The 16,519-nt window shown below is 50.8% G+C and overlaps 1 protein-coding gene across 25 annotated transcripts in view, besides 4 other annotated features; it reads right to left on the bottom strand.

Annotated features, from left to right (window-relative positions):
- The window catches only part of CUX1 (cut like homeobox 1), a 467,952-nt gene that overhangs the window by 106,166 nt on the left and 345,267 nt on the right, over positions 1–16,519 (bottom strand). For all 25 annotated transcript variants that reach the window (NM_001913.5, NM_181500.4, NM_001202545.3 and 22 more), the window contains one exon: positions 7,243–7,347. In NM_001913.5, coding sequence (NP_001904.2) covers positions 7,243–7,347 — 105 coding nt within the window. The remainder of the gene's footprint in view (positions 1–7,242; positions 7,348–16,519) is intronic.
- Positions 7,700–8,250: an enhancer, noted in NCBI's record as "H3K27ac-H3K4me1 hESC enhancer chr7:101812823-101813373 (GRCh37/hg19 assembly coordinates)". NCBI's record gives its function as "activates a minimal SCP1, AML or CMV promoter by ChIP-STARR-seq in naive H9 embryonic stem cells {active_cell/tissue: H9 hESC(naive)}" and the evidence as "EXISTENCE:reporter gene assay evidence [ECO:0000049][PMID:30033119]".
- Positions 8,251–8,802: an enhancer, noted in NCBI's record as "H3K27ac-H3K4me1 hESC enhancer chr7:101812271-101812822 (GRCh37/hg19 assembly coordinates)". NCBI's record gives its function as "activates a minimal SCP1, AML or CMV promoter by ChIP-STARR-seq in naive H9 embryonic stem cells {active_cell/tissue: H9 hESC(naive)}" and the evidence as "EXISTENCE:reporter gene assay evidence [ECO:0000049][PMID:30033119]".
- Positions 12,919–13,812: an enhancer, noted in NCBI's record as "H3K4me1 hESC enhancer chr7:101807261-101808154 (GRCh37/hg19 assembly coordinates)". NCBI's record gives its function as "activates a minimal SCP1, AML or CMV promoter by ChIP-STARR-seq in naive H9 embryonic stem cells {active_cell/tissue: H9 hESC(naive)}" and the evidence as "EXISTENCE:reporter gene assay evidence [ECO:0000049][PMID:30033119]".
- Positions 13,813–14,708: an enhancer, noted in NCBI's record as "H3K4me1 hESC enhancer chr7:101806365-101807260 (GRCh37/hg19 assembly coordinates)". NCBI's record gives its function as "activates a minimal SCP1, AML or CMV promoter by ChIP-STARR-seq in naive H9 embryonic stem cells {active_cell/tissue: H9 hESC(naive)}" and the evidence as "EXISTENCE:reporter gene assay evidence [ECO:0000049][PMID:30033119]".

Genomic DNA, 16,519 nt, shown 5'->3' with positions numbered 1-16,519 from the left:
GGGGTGACCACTGTCAAAGGAGACTTAAAACAGAGGCCAGAGTCAGAGCTGAGAGGCAGGGGGTTTAGTAAGATGGCCAGGAAAAGACTCACTGAGATGGTGATGTGTGAGCAGAGACCTGGAGGAGGAGGAGGTGGGGAGGGGCTGCTGAGCGTTGGGGAAGAGGGAAGAGTGCTCCAGGCAGGGGAACAGCAGAGTGGGTGGCTCAGAGGAGGAAGCCTCCCTCCAATGCTCCCAAACCACCGAGATTTTCCACCACAAGGTGGGATTCAAGGTCCTTGAGATTCACTGTTAAATTACCCGGAAGCTGAGATATTGTCTGACAAATTGAAAACTCTGTATCAGCATTTTCTTTTTCTTTTCTTTTTTTTTTTTTTTTGAGATAGAGTTTTGGTCTGTCGCCCAGGCTGGAGTGCAGTGGCGCGATCTCGGCTCACTGTAACCTCCGTCTCCTGCGTTCAAGCAATTCTCCTGCCTCAGCCTCCTAAGTAGCTGGGATTACAGGTGGGCACCACCACACTTGGCTCATTTTTGTATTTTTAGTAGAGATGGGGTTTCACTATGTTGGCCAGGCTGGTCTCGAACTCCTGACCTCAAGTGATCCACCCACCTTGGCCTCCCAAAGTGCTGGGATTATAGGCATGAGCCACTGTGCCCGGCCAGTATTTTATTTAATAAAAGAATTAAAAGATGTGGAAAATGTATATTTGGTGTTCCTTTGTTGAAGAACTCTTAGGATAATTGATGTGAAAAAAACCTGGCTACCCACCCCTTAACCTCACTAAATGCTCATTGTGGAAAATACGCAAAATAGAAAAAAGCTAAGGTATTAAAAAAAAAAAAAGGAAAAAGTCAAATCTGTAATTCTACTTCTCAATGACTCAAGTAGTACTTTTTTCAACCTTTAAAAGTAATCACGGGGCCAGGTGCTGTGGCTCACACCTGTAATCCAAGCACTTTGGGAGGCAGAGGTGGGTGGATCACCCGAGCTCAAGAGTTCGAGACCAGCTTGGGCCACATGGCGAAAACCCATCTCTACAAAAAAATACAAAAATTAGCAAGGCATTGTGGTGCATGCCTATAGTCCCAGCTACTCAGGAGGCTGGGGCGGGAGGATTGCTTGAGCTTGAGGAGGTTGAGGCTGCAGTGGGCCATGATTGCACCACTGACCTCCAGCCTGGGTGACAGAGCGACTCTGTGTCAAAGCAAAAAAAAAAAAAAAAAAAAAAAAAAAGGAATCCTGGCTCCTGAAAGATTCTGAAATATTTTCTGCAGGGCAGATGCAATTCTGGGCATGACAGACGGGGACAGGGGTGGAGAGGGCAGAGCTGCATGGTGTCTATGACAGCCGAATCCTGGGGGCAGCTCATGCTGTAACACAGAAAGCCACTGTCCTTGCCGCTGTCCCCCCTCTGAAGTGCTCAGTTTCACGTCCTGATCTTGCTTGTATTGTGGGGAAAGGGTGGCACCGTGGCCCCAGCTGGCAGGTACAGCTGGGCCATCCCATGCACCGTGTGCTCACCACGGATTTTCAAATTTGGGGACAGGCAGGCATTCACTCAGGGAAATAATGTTTTATATCTCCCTCGGGGAAAATGAGGCCTTTACCATTTAAGTCTGTAAAGTTTTGTGTGCAAAGAGGGTACTCCTTCCTGCTTCTTTGATTTGTATGAGGTTGTAAAAGAGGTGTTTCGGTTCTCCTGACCTCTGACAGCTGTGCGCGTGGCCCTGGGGGGCTGGAGCGAGCATCTCCTGTCGGCTTATTTACCAGGCACAGGCTGTCCAGGCCCGTTCTGTGCAGCGTGAGCTGCAGGGATCGTTGCCAATTTGCAAACTGTTGCTGGTGCACAGTGAGGCAATTACAGAAATCGAGAATAAGTGTTTAGAAACTTTTATAGCGATTCGGCATTTCGGTGACATTTTAAATGTCTTTTATATAAAACGATCAGTCTGCCACAGACTGGAAATTTAAAAAACAAAACAAAACTGTCCATCACAGGGAGTCTGGAAAGCACCGCTCTGAATAATGCCGGGCAGGGCCAACGTCACGAGCCCTCCAGGGTAGGAGGACCAGGACAGTGGCACGTGGGGCTGAGCCACAGGAGGGGGGAATGGGTGGGCCTCGGGAGGGCTGGCGGGACCTTGTCGGAAGGAAAGGGGGCTCCATCTCAGGGTGGGTGCCGGGGAAGGGCGGAGGACATGCAGGCAGGTGCAGAGGCTGGCAGGAGTGTGGGGCAGGGCTGGAGGAGTGACAGCTGCCAGGGGTAGCCAGAGGCGCCTGGACATGTGGTGGCAGCCCTGGGGAGTCCCTGCCAGCTCTGGAGCAAGGAGGGGACATGGCAGAAGTGACATGTAGGGAGGTCAGTCTGGGCACAGGTTGAATCATGCTATATCACGTCTTCATCTTAATCTTCCACCCTGAGGGGTGCTGGCCATAGACACTGATTAAAGGGCTTTTACGAAAAGGGTCAGTAAAACCAGCCAAGGGAATGTGGGTTTTACAAGGCGCAAGTCAAAGTGAATGTATCTGGGACAGGTGCTTCCAGTGACACAGGTCAAAGGTGTGGATTTCAGTGCTGTCCCTGGACCCAGAGTGGGGACCGGGCAGCGGGTGGTCGAGGGCTCAACTCCTGCGCCCGGCTGGGCATGGCCACAAGAGCTCGGCCACACTGGCCAACTCCCAGCAACTCAAGCCACAAACTCCTCCTTCATAAAACAGCAAAAATCATCGCTGTCTCGCACGAACTAAATGAGGTGAAAATGAACCCCAAAGCAGTAAGACCTTGGAAATGACACAGACATGACCATCCTCCCTCTATCTGTTTTTTTTGTTTTTGTTTTTTGAGATGGAGTCTTGCTCTGTCACCCAGGCTGGAGTGCAGTGGTGTCACGTCAGCTCACTGCAACCTCCCCCTCCCAGGTTCAAGCGATTCTCCTGTCTCAGCCTCCTGAGTAGTTGGGATTACAGGCACATGCCACCATGCCTGGCAAAGGCAAATTTTTATAGTTTTAGTAGAGATAGGATTTTGCCATTTTGGCCAGGCTGGTCTCGAACTCCTGACCTTGTGATCCGCCTGCCTTGGCCTCCCAAAGTGCTGGGATTATGGGTGTGAGCCACTGCGCCTGGCCCATCCTTCCTTTATCTGAAACTGTGGCTCACTCCATCTCAACACAGTGGGCACTCCCAGTTGTGCTGTCACAAGGACATAAGGGAGAATGAAGAAAGAAACAGAGAGGGGCTTGGGGAGCGATCCAGGGGGCCTGGATGAGAAGCAGCGGCCTGTCAGTCCATAGGGTGATGGCTGGGAGAGACATGGGCAAAAGCTAGAGAGGAAATCAGAGAGAGGAAGAGGTGGCCTTCAAAGCTTTAGGGAGGCTGGGTGCGGTGGCTCACGCCTGTAATCCCAGCACTTTGGGAGGCTGAGGTGGGCAGATCACCTGAGGTCAGGAGTTTGAGACCAGCCTGACCAACATGGTGAAACTCCATCTCTAGCAAAAATACAAAAACTAGCCAGGTATGGTGGCGCACACCTGTAATCCCAGCTATTCAGAAGGCTGAGACAGGAGAATTGGTTAAACCCAGGAGTGGAGGTTGCAGTGAGCCCAGATTGCGCCACTGCACTCCACCCTGGGTGACAGAGCGGGGCTACATCTCACTAAAAAACAAACAAACAAACAAAACTATGCAAAGCCCAGCATGGCTGCAAACTTGGGCCAGCAGCTCACTCAGTGACCGCTCACCTTCTAGAATCGGAGATTCCACTGGGATACCCAATGGATGGGTTTTGGCCTTTGCTAGATCTACAGACTCCACCGTTTCTCTGCTGCATTCTGCCAGCCAAGCCCAACAGACCATTTTTCCGCTGGCCCAGTTTCCTATGTTTGCTCCCCAACTGGCTGCAGCTGGAACCCACTGGCTATGTGGGAATACACGCCCGCGGGGAGCCCCACGGGGCTGCTCTGGGGAGACTGAACCGGTGCCATGTAAACACGGCACTTAACCGATGATGAAGTGTTTAAGCGCCCCTAGGATCCACAACGGACTCTACCTGCAAAAACATTCATTTCCTTCTGAAATGTTTTGGTTGCTGCAGTCCAGGATAGTGCCAGAATTCTTTTCAACCAAAACACTGAGCTCAGGGGCCCCGTGTAGACACATCAGAATGGACGACTTCCTTTGCAGAATGAAGCAGGACCCCAGGGGCCAGGGGAAGCCGCTGACCCTGTCCTGAAGGCTGCCTCCCACCCTAGCCATGGTGCTGGATCCAGTTTGTCTAAACTTAGAGGAAGGAACTGTAACAGAGCCAAGGGGACATTCAGTTAAAATTAAGTTCCAGAGTCCATGAAGTATGAAGGACGTGATGGCCTGCTCAATGCAAATCTTTTCTCTACATCCAGGAACACTTCAATCATATCTTTTTTTGTTTTGTTTTGTTTTGAGATGGAGTCTTGCTGTCGCCCAGGCTGGAATGCAATGGCACGATCTCACTGCACAACCTCTGTCTCCCAGGTTCAAGCGATTCTCCTACCTCAGCCTCCTGAGTAGCTGGGATTATAGGCGCCCACCATCACACCCAGCTAATTCTTCTATTTTTAGTAGAGACAGGTTCTCGCCATATTGGCCAGGCTGGTCTCAAACTCCTGATCTCAGGTGATCTGCCCGCCTCGGCCCCCCAAAGTGCTAGGATTACAGGTGTGTGCCACCACACCCAGTCTCATATTTACTTTTTTGGAGACAGGGTTTCTCTCTGTTGCCCAGGTTGGAGCACAGTGGCACAATCATAACTCACTGCAGCCTCTGCCTCTTGGGTTCAAGCAATTCTCCTGCCTCGGCCTCCTGAGTAGCTGGGACTACAGGCACATACCACCATGCCCAGCTAATTTTAAAATTTTTGTAGAGATGGGGTTTCGATATTTTGCCCTGGCCGGTCTCAAACTCCTGGCCTCAAGTGATCCTCCTGCTTCAGCTTCCCAAAGGGCTGGGATTACAGGTGTGAGCCACTGCGCCCAGCAACAAATGTTTTAATTAATGTTAATTTTAAAAAGAAGGCTAAAATCTTTTCTTAGAAGGGAGTCTTAATACCTTGATCTAGATTCATTCCTGGGGAATAATTTAAAAGCCACAGTCTGGGGTGCCAGAACGCCCAATTCAGGTCTTAGCTCAGCCATTAGATTGACTGTGCTTTGGGAAAAGGTGTTTACATTCATGGAGGTTTTGTTTCTTCATCTATATAAAAAAATAGGGCCGGGAATGATGACTCATGCTTGTAATCTCAGCACTTTGGGAGGTGGATAACCTGAGGACAGGAGTTCAAGACCTGGGAGGCTGAGGCAGGAGGATCGCTTGAGCCCAGGTCAAGGCTACAGCGAGCCATGATCACTCCACTGCATTCCAGCCTGGGTGACCGAGTGAGATCCCGCAGTGGCTCATGCCTGTAACCCCAGCACTTTGGGAGGTGGATAACCTGAGGACAGGAGTTCAAGACCAGCCTGGGCAATGTGGCAAAACCCCATCTCTACAAATAATACAAAAATTAGCTGGGCATGGTGGTATGCGCCTGCAGCTCCAGCTAGTTGGGAGGCTGAGGCACGAGAATTGCTTGAACCCGGGAGGTGGAGGTGGAGGTTGCAGTGAGCTGAGATCACGCCACTACACTCCAGCCTGGGCGACAGAAGAAGACTCTCTCTCAAAAAAAAGAAATAACGGTATTCTGTTTCACAGATTGGGTGGAAATAATGATTGTCAATGATTGAATTTATTACAAGAGCAAGTTCTTCTGATGAGACTGTACTCTCTGCAACCAGCCTCATCTTACTCCTTATGGTTCTTCGGGTGTCCACTACAAGCCCTAGCATACGGCAAGGGCTTGACGGAGTCACTGTTGGATAAAAGGACTCCTACAACTGATATGTACTCATTGTAACCTTAGGATGAGGGCTCCATAGAGCGGCCTTGTGATCACTTAATTCCTATTTTACACATGGGAAAACTGAGGTTTGTAAGTGAACTAGTGATGAAATTATGTGCTAGAAATTGAGGGATCAGGCTAGGCGTGGTGGCTCATGCCTGTAATCCCAGCACTCTGGGAGGCTGAGGCAGGAGGATCACTTAAGTCCAGGAGTTTGAGACCAGCCTGGGCAACGCGACAAAACCTAGTCCCTATAAAAAATACCAAAATCAGCCAGGTGTGGTGGTGTGCGCCTGCAGTCCCAGCTACTCGGGAGGTTGAGCTGGGAGGATCCCTTGAGCCTGGGAGGTGGAGGCTGCAGTGAGCCAAGACTGCGCCACTGCACTCCAGCCTGGGCAACAGAGAGAGACCTTGTCTTAGAAAAAAAAAGAAAAAAAAAAAAAACCCAAAACTGAGGGATCAGAGATAATGGTGCCAACTACAACTAGAATTACTGCTAAGGTTTACTTAGTCTTATTACATGTCCAGCTTTGCTCTAAGTTATTTGCTCATAATAACTTTCGCACCAACCCCCCAGTTTACAGGCGGGGAAACGGAGACTCAGGGACGTTAAGCTCCTTTGTCCCCATCACCAGACTGCTGAGCTGGGGTCTGCACTGGGGGCTATGGCTCCAACACCCAAGGTCTTAGCTCCTACGCTGTTCCTTGTCCCTATACAGCATTGAAAGAGAGTCTGGAAACCCATAGTTCAAAGCCACCTTGATCGAGCTGGGAATGTTTGGGCTAAGAGCCATTTGCGCTAATTTCAGAAAAAGCAAGCTGCAAAAAAGTGGTGTGATACCCACTCTTCCTGCTCTATAAACTCGGTGCAGAATGTTATTTTATTACCTCTCTGCCCGCCCACCCCTACCCTCCCAGCTCATCCTGAACTGTTCCTCATCTTGGAAAGGCACAGCGGAAACCCTCAATTTCTCCGTGTCATTCTGGAGAGGCTCCTGGTTCGGGTCTGCACCCGCATGCCAGCGATCACACCCCCAGGCCTGGCTGGGGCATCGTGACTGTGTCTGTGACTGTGCCTGCGTAGCCTCCACCTTGGCCCTGGGTGGATGCCACGCTAGCCTCAGCCCACCCACGCACAGTTAGCAAAGCTCTTCCTTCGACTTTAACAAGCTCCGGCCCCCAATTGGTCAAAGCAAACCCCACCGAGAAAGCAGTACTAGTTAAAACGTGATTCCCAAAAAGAGATGCTGAAAACAAAAAGGAGCAAGCGGCTGTAACTCGAAGGTGCGGAGGCCAGGCGGGGACAGTCCCCCACGGGGCCGGGGCTACCCACCACGTCTGGTGCCTTCTGGATCTGTGAGGCCAGCTGGAGGGAGTGATTGGCCGATGAGAGCTGTTCCCTTAAGGTCTCCGCCTCTCTCTGAGCCACCTCTGCCCTCTGAAGGAAATGAAAAGGGGTGAAAGAGAAAGTACATTCAGTTTAACAACTGACAATTATTACAAGAACATTCATCAATTCATGCCTGACTGACTATAATTGATTTTCCTAAACACTCAACCTAATAAATGCTAGGAAAAAAAACACAGAATGTGATGGATTTTTATTTTAAACAGTACAAGGAAGAAATAATTGAGCGATTATGACAGTAATTTAACGCTAGGAGCAAAGGAATCCCCTGCTGATACTAATACTCCGGCCCACTGAATTTCCCAGACTGAATAAATACAAGTGGAAATCGAGTCTTTTGATTCAATTTCTTTCTATTCTCATAGACCAAGAAGATTTTATTGCGGGATTACTCCTGGGAGTAATTCTCACGGGTAAACAGTGAATTAAAGACACTTTGGCCATTCTCTTCCTAAAAACACGCACAAACAATGTTGTGGTTGTTTTTCTTCAGCAAGGATTTCCATAAACGTACAGGATGTAAATGCCACTGCTTTTGTAAAGGCCGGGCTTATTTCAACATATTTAACCCTTCACTGGACAAAGTGTTTTGAATGCTGATCCTGGCATTTTCAGCCAACCAGGCCAATCCGAGGACGTAGACAGGACAGCATAGACCAGTGCTGGGGGCTGCGGGACAAATGAGTGGACTTTTCCATCATTTGCCTGCAATTCCTGAACAAGGAAACAACCACCCCCAGAGAGCAGATGGGGATTTCCCACTGGATGACGAGGACAGGTCACCCCAGTGCCCACCACCCGACAGGGTGTCTGGGAAAAGACATACCATGGCAAGTTACCCAAACTCACTGAGCTGCTGCCTACCCGTCTGGAAAATGGGAACACGGTCCCTAGCCACGGAAGTGCCCAGGACACACAACTCAGGCAGAGGTCGTTTGTGAATGGCCTTGTGCCGGCTTAATACTTAGGACTGAGGCACAGTTCTAAGACAGGTGGGAGATGGTGGCGAATGACATGGGACACGTGGGCTGAGGTGAAAGTTCTGCTTCTTCCTCCCAGACTTACATTCCACTGCTAGAAACATTCAATCAGAAAAGCCTGGCCAAAGGCTGGGCATGGTGGCTCACACCTGTAATCCTGGCACTTTGGGAAGCCGAGGCGGGTGGATCATGTGAGGTCAGGGGTTCGAGACCAGCCTGGCCAACATGGTGAAACCATATCTCTACTAAAAATACAAAAAATTGGCTGGGTACGGTGGCTCACGCCTATAATCCCAGCACTTTGGGAGACTGAAGTGGGCAGATCACCTGAGGTCAGGAGTTCGAGACCAGCCTGACCAACGTGGAGAAACCTCGTCTCTACTAAAAACACAAAATGAGCTGGGCATGGTGGCACATGCCTGTAATCCCAGCTACTCGGGAGACTGAGGCAGAAGAATCGCTTGAACCCAGGAGGTAGAGGTTTGCGGTGAGCAGAGATCACGCCATTGCACTCCAGCCTGGGCAACAAGAGCAAAACCACATCTCAAAAAAAAAAAGAAAATAAAAGAAAAGAAAAGAAAATAAAAGAAAAGAAAAGAAAAGAAAAGAAAAGCCTGGCCAAGCAGCGTCTCCATCGTGTGTTTTATTTTGTGGCATGGCAGCGTGTGGCTAACAATGGCTGAGAAAGGACTCAGAAAGACAAACAAGAAGTTGGCCTGTCCTGGAACTGGCTGATTAATCTAGTTCTAGGAGGAGTGGCTTTGGCAGCTTTAAGCAATTCTGTGGCAACAGCATTGAATCTATTTGCCCTGCATACAGACAAATTAGGATTTTTTTTTTTTTTTTTTTTTTGAGACAGAGCCTCGCTCTGTCGCCTAGGCTGGAGTGCAGTGGCATGATCTTGGCTCACTGCAGCCTCCACCTCCTGGGTTCAAGCGATTCTCCTGCCTCAGCCTCCTGAGTAGCTGGAATTACAGGTGCCCACCATGCCTGGCTAATTTTTGTGTTTTGAGTAGAGATGGGGTTTCACATGTTGGCCAGGCTGGTATCGAACTCCTGACCTCAGATGATCTGCCTGCCTCGGCCTCCCAAAGTGCTGGGATTACAGGCATGAGCCACCGCGCCCAGCCAATTTAGGATATTTCTAATGGCAGTTCCGTCCGCCCAGGGCGGTGCTGGTGGCCGCCTGCCTTGCCTCTCCAGGAGCTCTTGGAATTACATTCAGTTGAATTCATGTGGTGCCTGGGTGGGTGTGTCTAGGCCCAAGCAGGTCACCTCTGTCACTATCTCTCGTCCACACTGAATCTAGAACCAGCCATCAGGAAGGTGGCAAGGTGACCTGTATGTCCAGGACTGTAGAGGTGATTTCTGGTTCATGCTAATTAATCAACTGGTTTTTTTTTTTTTTTTAATTTCCTGAGATGGAATCTCATTCTGTCACCCAGGCTGGAGTGCAGTGGTGCAATCTCAGTTAACTGCAACCTCCGCCTCCCGGGTTCAAGCGATTCTCCTGCCTCAGCCTCCCGAGTAGCTAGGATTACAGACACACAATGCCACAACCGACTCATTTTTATATTTTTTGTAGAGACGGGGTTTTGCCACGCTGGCCAGGCTGGTCTTGAACTCCTGACCTCAGGTGATCCATGCCTTGGCCTCCCAAAGAGCTGGGATTACAGGTGTGAGCCACTGCATCCGACCTAATCAACTATTAAGACTACAGAAAAATGTCCTCTTCAACAAAAAAGATTTTTCCCAGTTTATTTCCAGATGTGTCATGCCAAGTGTTTCTGATGATCACGTCAAATCACTGAAGAGCTTACGCCTCCCTTGCTGGTCAGTTCAACTCTTGGGCAGAAAATATCTAAGACTCTGCCTGGAATAAGATGTATTTGGAGATATTTCTCCTGGTCTCTTGGGCTAGAAAACCTATTTCTTAGCCTAGTGGAGAAGCTGTTCTGGTGGCAGCCAAGGAGGTGGCCTCACCACCCTGACTTGTAACACTGGCTCTGAAGTGTTCTGGAACGGCCAGCGCTGGGGAAGTCCCGGGCATCTGGTTACAAGGTGTCCCCGGGAGCCTACATGGTCTCAAGCAGGCATTTAGCCGTTCAGAGCGGATACCATCTCATCACAGGGTGATGGTTCACAAAAGAAGGGATCTAGCTGTTGATGATTTCAATTTCTGATTGCATAATTTCTTTCTTTTTCTTTTCTTTTCTTTTTTTTTTTTTGATACAGAGTCTCACCCTGTTGCCCAGGCTGGAGTGCAGCGGTATGATTTTGGCTCACTGCAACCTCCACCTCCCAGGATGAAGTGATTCTCCCACCTCAGCCTCCTGAGTAGCTGGGATTACAGATGCCCGCCATCACGCCCAGCTAATTTTTGTATTTTTAGTAGAGACAGGGTTTCACCATGTTGGCCAGGCTGGTCTTGAACTCCTGACCTCAAGTAATCCACCTGCCTCGGCCTCCCAAAGTGCTGGGATTACAGGTGTGAGCCACCGCGCCCGGCCTGATTGCATAATTTCTGTGGAGCATTTGCACTTGCAATCAGTTTCCAAGTTCACGGACAGTCTCTCTGTGGCCCATCTGTTGGCGGTCACGGTGTCAGACTTCTATCACTTGTGGCTTGCCTTCGTTACTTTCACGCAACTTTCTGATCACATAGTTATTCAGGATTTCTGTCCTGAGGGCGTCGAAAAAAAATACAAAACTCACAAAATGAAGCGTTGAGGTGGTTTGTGTGGTGAGATCCACGAAACAGGAGAATTCAAACTAAAAACAGGCCTAATGGCAGTGAAAGGAAGGAACAGGGAAACAGACACTGATCTGGAGCTGGGATAAATTCATTTCAGGAGCTGAGAAGTAAGCGTAGCCCATCATTGGCAGCTGAGGCAGGAAGAAGGGGGCCCTGTCCCGGGTCGGCGTGTGGTGACACTGGTTTTGAGGCTCTGGCGTCTTCCTGAAGACCCCTGTTAAACCAGCTGTAGCTGTGTTTCTAGATCTGGAACCCCAGATCTAGCGGTGGCGGCCCTGAGACATCACTTCCCTGTGGTCACCGCCGGACTCCCGTCTCCTCCTGTGTCCCTGCAGAGACAGGGCCACTGGGAGCCCTCGTTCTACTTTTGTGTCTGCCCCACCATGAGAACGGCCCCTCGCCAAGCCTGAGCACTGTCCTGGGAGATCTTTCTTGCTCTTTCTTGTCTATTCTCTGTCATTTGCTGAGAAATCAGAGTTGATGCTAGAAACACAGGGGCGAGGAGGATACTGCTTGCATATCAGTGGTAACCCAGACCACGATGGCAGAAAACAGCCACCCGGCAAGGGGACTGGTGGCCACGGGGCTCACACAAGCCGATGCCCATCACCTGGCGATGGTGTCCAGGACATTGTCACGAAGGTCCCTGGCATGTGTGGCCCCAGGCACACCTCACATCCTCCTCATCTCAAAATGGAAGACCCTTTTGGGGGAAATTACTCTTAGCTGGCATCAGGTTAAACTCTGCCTCCCCTCAGCAGTCACCTGGGAGGTAGCAAGCAGCCAGCGACACCGTGTCTCAGGAATTCTTCCTGTTAGAGTCAAGCCAGCAAATACAGAGATGGTTTCCACCGTGAGACCCAGGGGAGCCTCGCTTCTCTGGGGAAGGTGAAGGAGGCTTTTCTGCTCCCTGGGCTGGTGTCATATTCCTCACTGGGTGATTTGGGGAAGGAGAGCCGGAACCAGGGGTCCACGAGGTCACCTCATCCTAGAAGAAGTTCCACGGGCCCCCCAACCCCTGCCCATCCCTCAAGGGTCCCTGAAAGGCCCCAGGAAGGATGGTAAGTAAATGCTTTTGCTGGGTGCTGTGGCTCACGCCTGTAATCCCAGCACTTTGGGAGGCTGAGGTGGGCAGATCACTTGAGGTCAGGGGTTTGAGACCAGCCTGGTCAACATGGTGAAATCCTGTCTCTACTAAAAATACAAAAATTAGCTGGGCGTGGGGGTGTGCACCTGTAGTCCCAGCTACTTGGGAGACTGAGACATGAGAATTGGCATGAGAATTGCTTGAATCTGGGAGGGGGAGGGTGCAGTGAGTCAAGATCACGCCACTGAACTCCAGCCTGGGTCACAGGGTGAGACTCCATCTCAAAAAAAAAAAAAAAAAAAAGCTTTCCCCTAACCGCAGTGCCCGATTGGGATGTGAATACAGGATGTAGACAGCTACTTCCAGGCCTCTAAAGTCTGAACAATTTGACTCATAAAACGTGGTAAGGCATCATGGGAAGGACACAGAGAGGGGTGGGCTTGCAGAGGATAAAGACAGGGCCTTGGGCCAGCTGCAGCCTGGTGGGGCGAAGGTGTGGGGAGAGGGCTGGGGGGTCTCATGTGCGACATGGCCCCAGACCTGTGGAGAGGTGGCTGTGGTTAGGAATTCTCTTGGGAGGCTCATTTTCTTCTCCCTCTGGAACCAACAAGAGAGAACCCTCACCGTCTCCCCTTTAAGGGCAGACTCCTTCCCCCACCCTGCCAGTTTACACTTTCAGAGTGTGGCCTTTGAAGTCCCTGGTTTTATATGGCGGGGGAGGGGGGTTTTCTCTGATCCAATCTTCCACCCCCTTCTTGGCCCCAGGTTTTGTCTCTTGTTCTCTGCTTGCATGGCCATTAAAACTCAGGCTTGAGGACACCAGAGATGAGCAAGTCCCCCGAGGAACAAAGTAGACCCAGGAGCTGATGATGGGCTAAGGCCCTGCTGCCCTACCCGCAGCATGCAATTACAGTGAACATCTCGACTCCCAGAGGTAACTCCATGTCACTGACTCTGCAGGAAGGAGGTCGGGAACAGCTACCACAGCTGGAGACCAAATGCTGACCACCACGTGTCCCACGCTGATGCTGCACCAGTGGCCAAGGCCTCCATGGAGACCCACTCTCCGTGGTGAGGGTCAGCTGTGGTTTCCAACCCCTAACCTCAACCTGGAGAGTCCTCCACTAGGGCAGTCTTGTGACATAAACACCAGGCAGGTGAACAGGAAGAGGGCAGCTCACTTCAATGACTCCCTCCCAGCCCCACTGTGGGCTAGGAGAACATGCCACTGCGCTCCAGCCTGTGCGTCAAAGCCCATATTCATTCAATACATCTTTTTGAGCACGGACTCTGAGCAGGCCTCGTAGGTAGTAAAGAAATGCTGGCTTCAAAGCCGGGCGCAGTAGCTCATGCCTGTAGTCCCAGTACTTTGGTAGGCCAAGGCGAGAGGATAGCTTGAGCCCAGGAGTTTGAGACCCACCAGCAACTCGGATCACCACTGCTCAGAAAGGAGGCCCCGGAGGGGTGGTGGGCGGGCCACTTTTTTTCACCACAAAAAGGCTGTGAATTGCTGAAAGCCCCCGGACGGGACGGGGTTTCACATGCAGTTCAAAGTGTAAAGCTGTGGCTTCTTATTGACCATGAAGTCTCAAGAGATCTGATCCTTTACTGTCACCAATTGGGACAGTGAGTATTTATGCCAGTGCCCTGATGTTCAACAAACAGGTGTGAATGAGGCTCGGACATAACTGACAGGTGCCGACCCCTCTGCTACTTCTCCATAACAGGAGCACAGTGGTTGAGCAATAAACGAGCACTTCAGGTCTCCGTAGAACATTCTAACTACACACCCAGGGAAAACGAATGTTGTATGCCAGTGAGCTAGTAAATTGCTCCTCCTGGGGGGTTTCCTGATGGGAAAGGTGTTGGTCCAGATGCCTGCCACCTGCACCAGTGTTGGACTGTGTCTGCGCCCTCCTCTTCCTGCCCAGCCCGCCTCCAGCTCACCTCCGCAGGGATGGCCTCAGCTCAGGCCCATGCCATCTCTCCCCATACTTACACAATAGCCTCCCACAGCTCTCCTGGCTTCTGGTCTTTCCACTCCCATCTGTTCTCCAATGTATAGCCAGAGAGATCCTTCTAGAACTCAAACCTGATGTCTCAATCCCGCCTACGATTCTTCACTGCTCCCAGGATGAATCCTTCATACTCAGACCCTCCCACAGGCCTGGCCAGGTCCCGTCCTACCAGCCCACTCTCTGACCCGCATCTCTGGTGTTGGTTTTGAACTCTCGGGCCCAAGAGATCCTCCCATCTCAGCCTCCTGGGTTAGCTGGGACCACAGGTGCACACCACCACACCTGGCTATTTTTTTTTTTTTAAACTTTTTTGTAGAGAAAAAAGTCTCACTATGTTGCCCAGGCTGGTCTCAAACTCATGGGCTCAAGTGATGCTCCTGCCTCGGCCTCTCCAACTGCCGGTACTATAGGCACCGCCGCCACCATGCCTGGCTCTGGGCAGCTTTTCTCTTAGTTGATGGCCCAGGGCAACGTCCCCTTCTCTGGCTTTCCTTTAACCTTCCACTTCTTTTCCTGCTGGAAATATTCTCTCGATATTCCAAGGGCTTGCATCTTTCCTCCCTGGATGCTTCTCATGCCAATGGGTTCACCTGTAGCTTCACGAAATCCTAGACTTCAGGGTCAAAAGGGACCCTTTGAGCCTTCTTGTTCAATCCCTCCTTCGGTCCACTCTGTGCGTGATTCCCCATCTCATGCTCTCTGGGAGGGCTGGCCTGAATCTGCTTGCATAGCTCTGGTGACAGGGAGCTCACTCTCTCCAGAGCAAGCATCTTTCAGCGTGGCAACTCTGGAGAGCCAGACCACTGGGAATAAGCTTCCTGGCTGGGCATGGTGGCTGATGCCTGTAACCCCAGAACTTTGGGAGGCAGAGGTGGGTGGATCGTTTGAGCCCAGGAGTTCAAGAGCAGCCTGGGCAAACATGGCAAAACCCCGTCTCTACTAAAAACACAATAATTAGCTGGGTGTGGTGGCATGTGCCTGTAATCTCAGCACTTTGGGAGGCCGAGGTGGGCAGATCGCTTGAGCCCAGGAGTTATCTCTACTAAAAATAAGAAAATTAGCCATGCGTGGTGCCATATGCCTGTAGTCCCAGCTACTCGGGAGGCTGAGGCAGGAGAATCGCTTGAACCCAGGATGGGGAGCCATATGCCCGTAGTCCCAGCTACTCGGGAGGCTGTGGCAGGAGAATCGCTTGAACCCAGGATGGGGAGCCATATGCCCATAGTCCCAGCTATTTGGGAGGCTGAGGCAGGGGAATCACTTGAACCCAGGACGGGGAGGTTGCAGTGAGCTGAGATTGTGCCACTGCACTCCAGCCTGGGCAACAGAGCAAGACTGTCTCAGAAGCAAAAACAAAAAAGTTTCCTCTCGCCAGCCTCTATGCTTGGCTGGGGTCTACAGGGGTCTCTCAGAAAAAGCCTGGCTCCGTCCCCTGGCCTTTCTTTCTGGTCGGCTCTTGAGAACTACAAGGACAGAACCCACAAATGCCCCCATGACCCTTCCCCCTTATCTTTTCGCGTCCCAGATTCCTGAAATTATTCCTCTTGCTCCTGCTGTCCAGTGGTGCTGCCGTCTTTCCCTGCTACCCCAAGATTAGGAACGTCTCCGAACCCCCTAGTTCTTTTTATGTTAGAGCCCCTCCCTGTCCTGGCCATGGAGTCATCTCTGAATGCACTCCAAGGAGCTGTTTTCCTTATACTGTGGCTTCCAGTCTAAAATGGAATTTCCGGCTGGGCGCGGTGGCTCTTGCCTGTAACCCCAGCACTTAGGGAGGCCAAGGTGGGCAGATCACCTGAGGTCAGGAGTTCGAGACCAGCCTGGCCAACACGGTGAAACCCCGTCTCTACTAAAACTATAAAAATTAGCTGGGCATGGTGGGCGCCTATAATCCCAGCTACTTGGGAGGCTGAGGCAGGAGAATTGCCTGAACCCATGAGGTGGAGGATGCAGTGAGCTGAGATCGTGCCATTGCACTCCAGCCTAGATGACAAGAGTAAAATTCCATTTCAAAGAAGAAAAATAAATAAATTTAAAAAATGGAATTTCCTAGGCACGGACTCCTTGCTGCCAATGAGCAGAATCACCACCTCCTTCATTCTAGAAACTGTATTTCTATTAATGTAGCCGTATCAGGCTATAAACTCTGGCTGAGTTGTTGGTGAGAACTCACCTCTACCCCTCACCACCCTTTCCTGAAGGCAGGACTTTACAATTCCCCCAAAACCTGAGCTTCTTCAGCAGCTACGGAACTAACATTTATTTAGGCATCTACTTCTTTTATTTTTTTTGAGATAGGGTCTCACTCTGTCACCTAGGCTGGGGTGCAGTGGTGCAATCATAGCTCACTGCAACCTCTACCTCC

This window comes from Homo sapiens, chromosome 7 (genome assembly GCF_000001405.40).
Source record: "Homo sapiens chromosome 7, GRCh38.p14 Primary Assembly".
NCBI classification, from domain to species: Eukaryota; Metazoa; Chordata; class Mammalia; order Primates; family Hominidae; genus Homo; species Homo sapiens.
The sequence above is the reverse complement of the archived record's forward strand: the minus strand, read 5'-3'. Positions and strand labels throughout refer to the sequence as shown.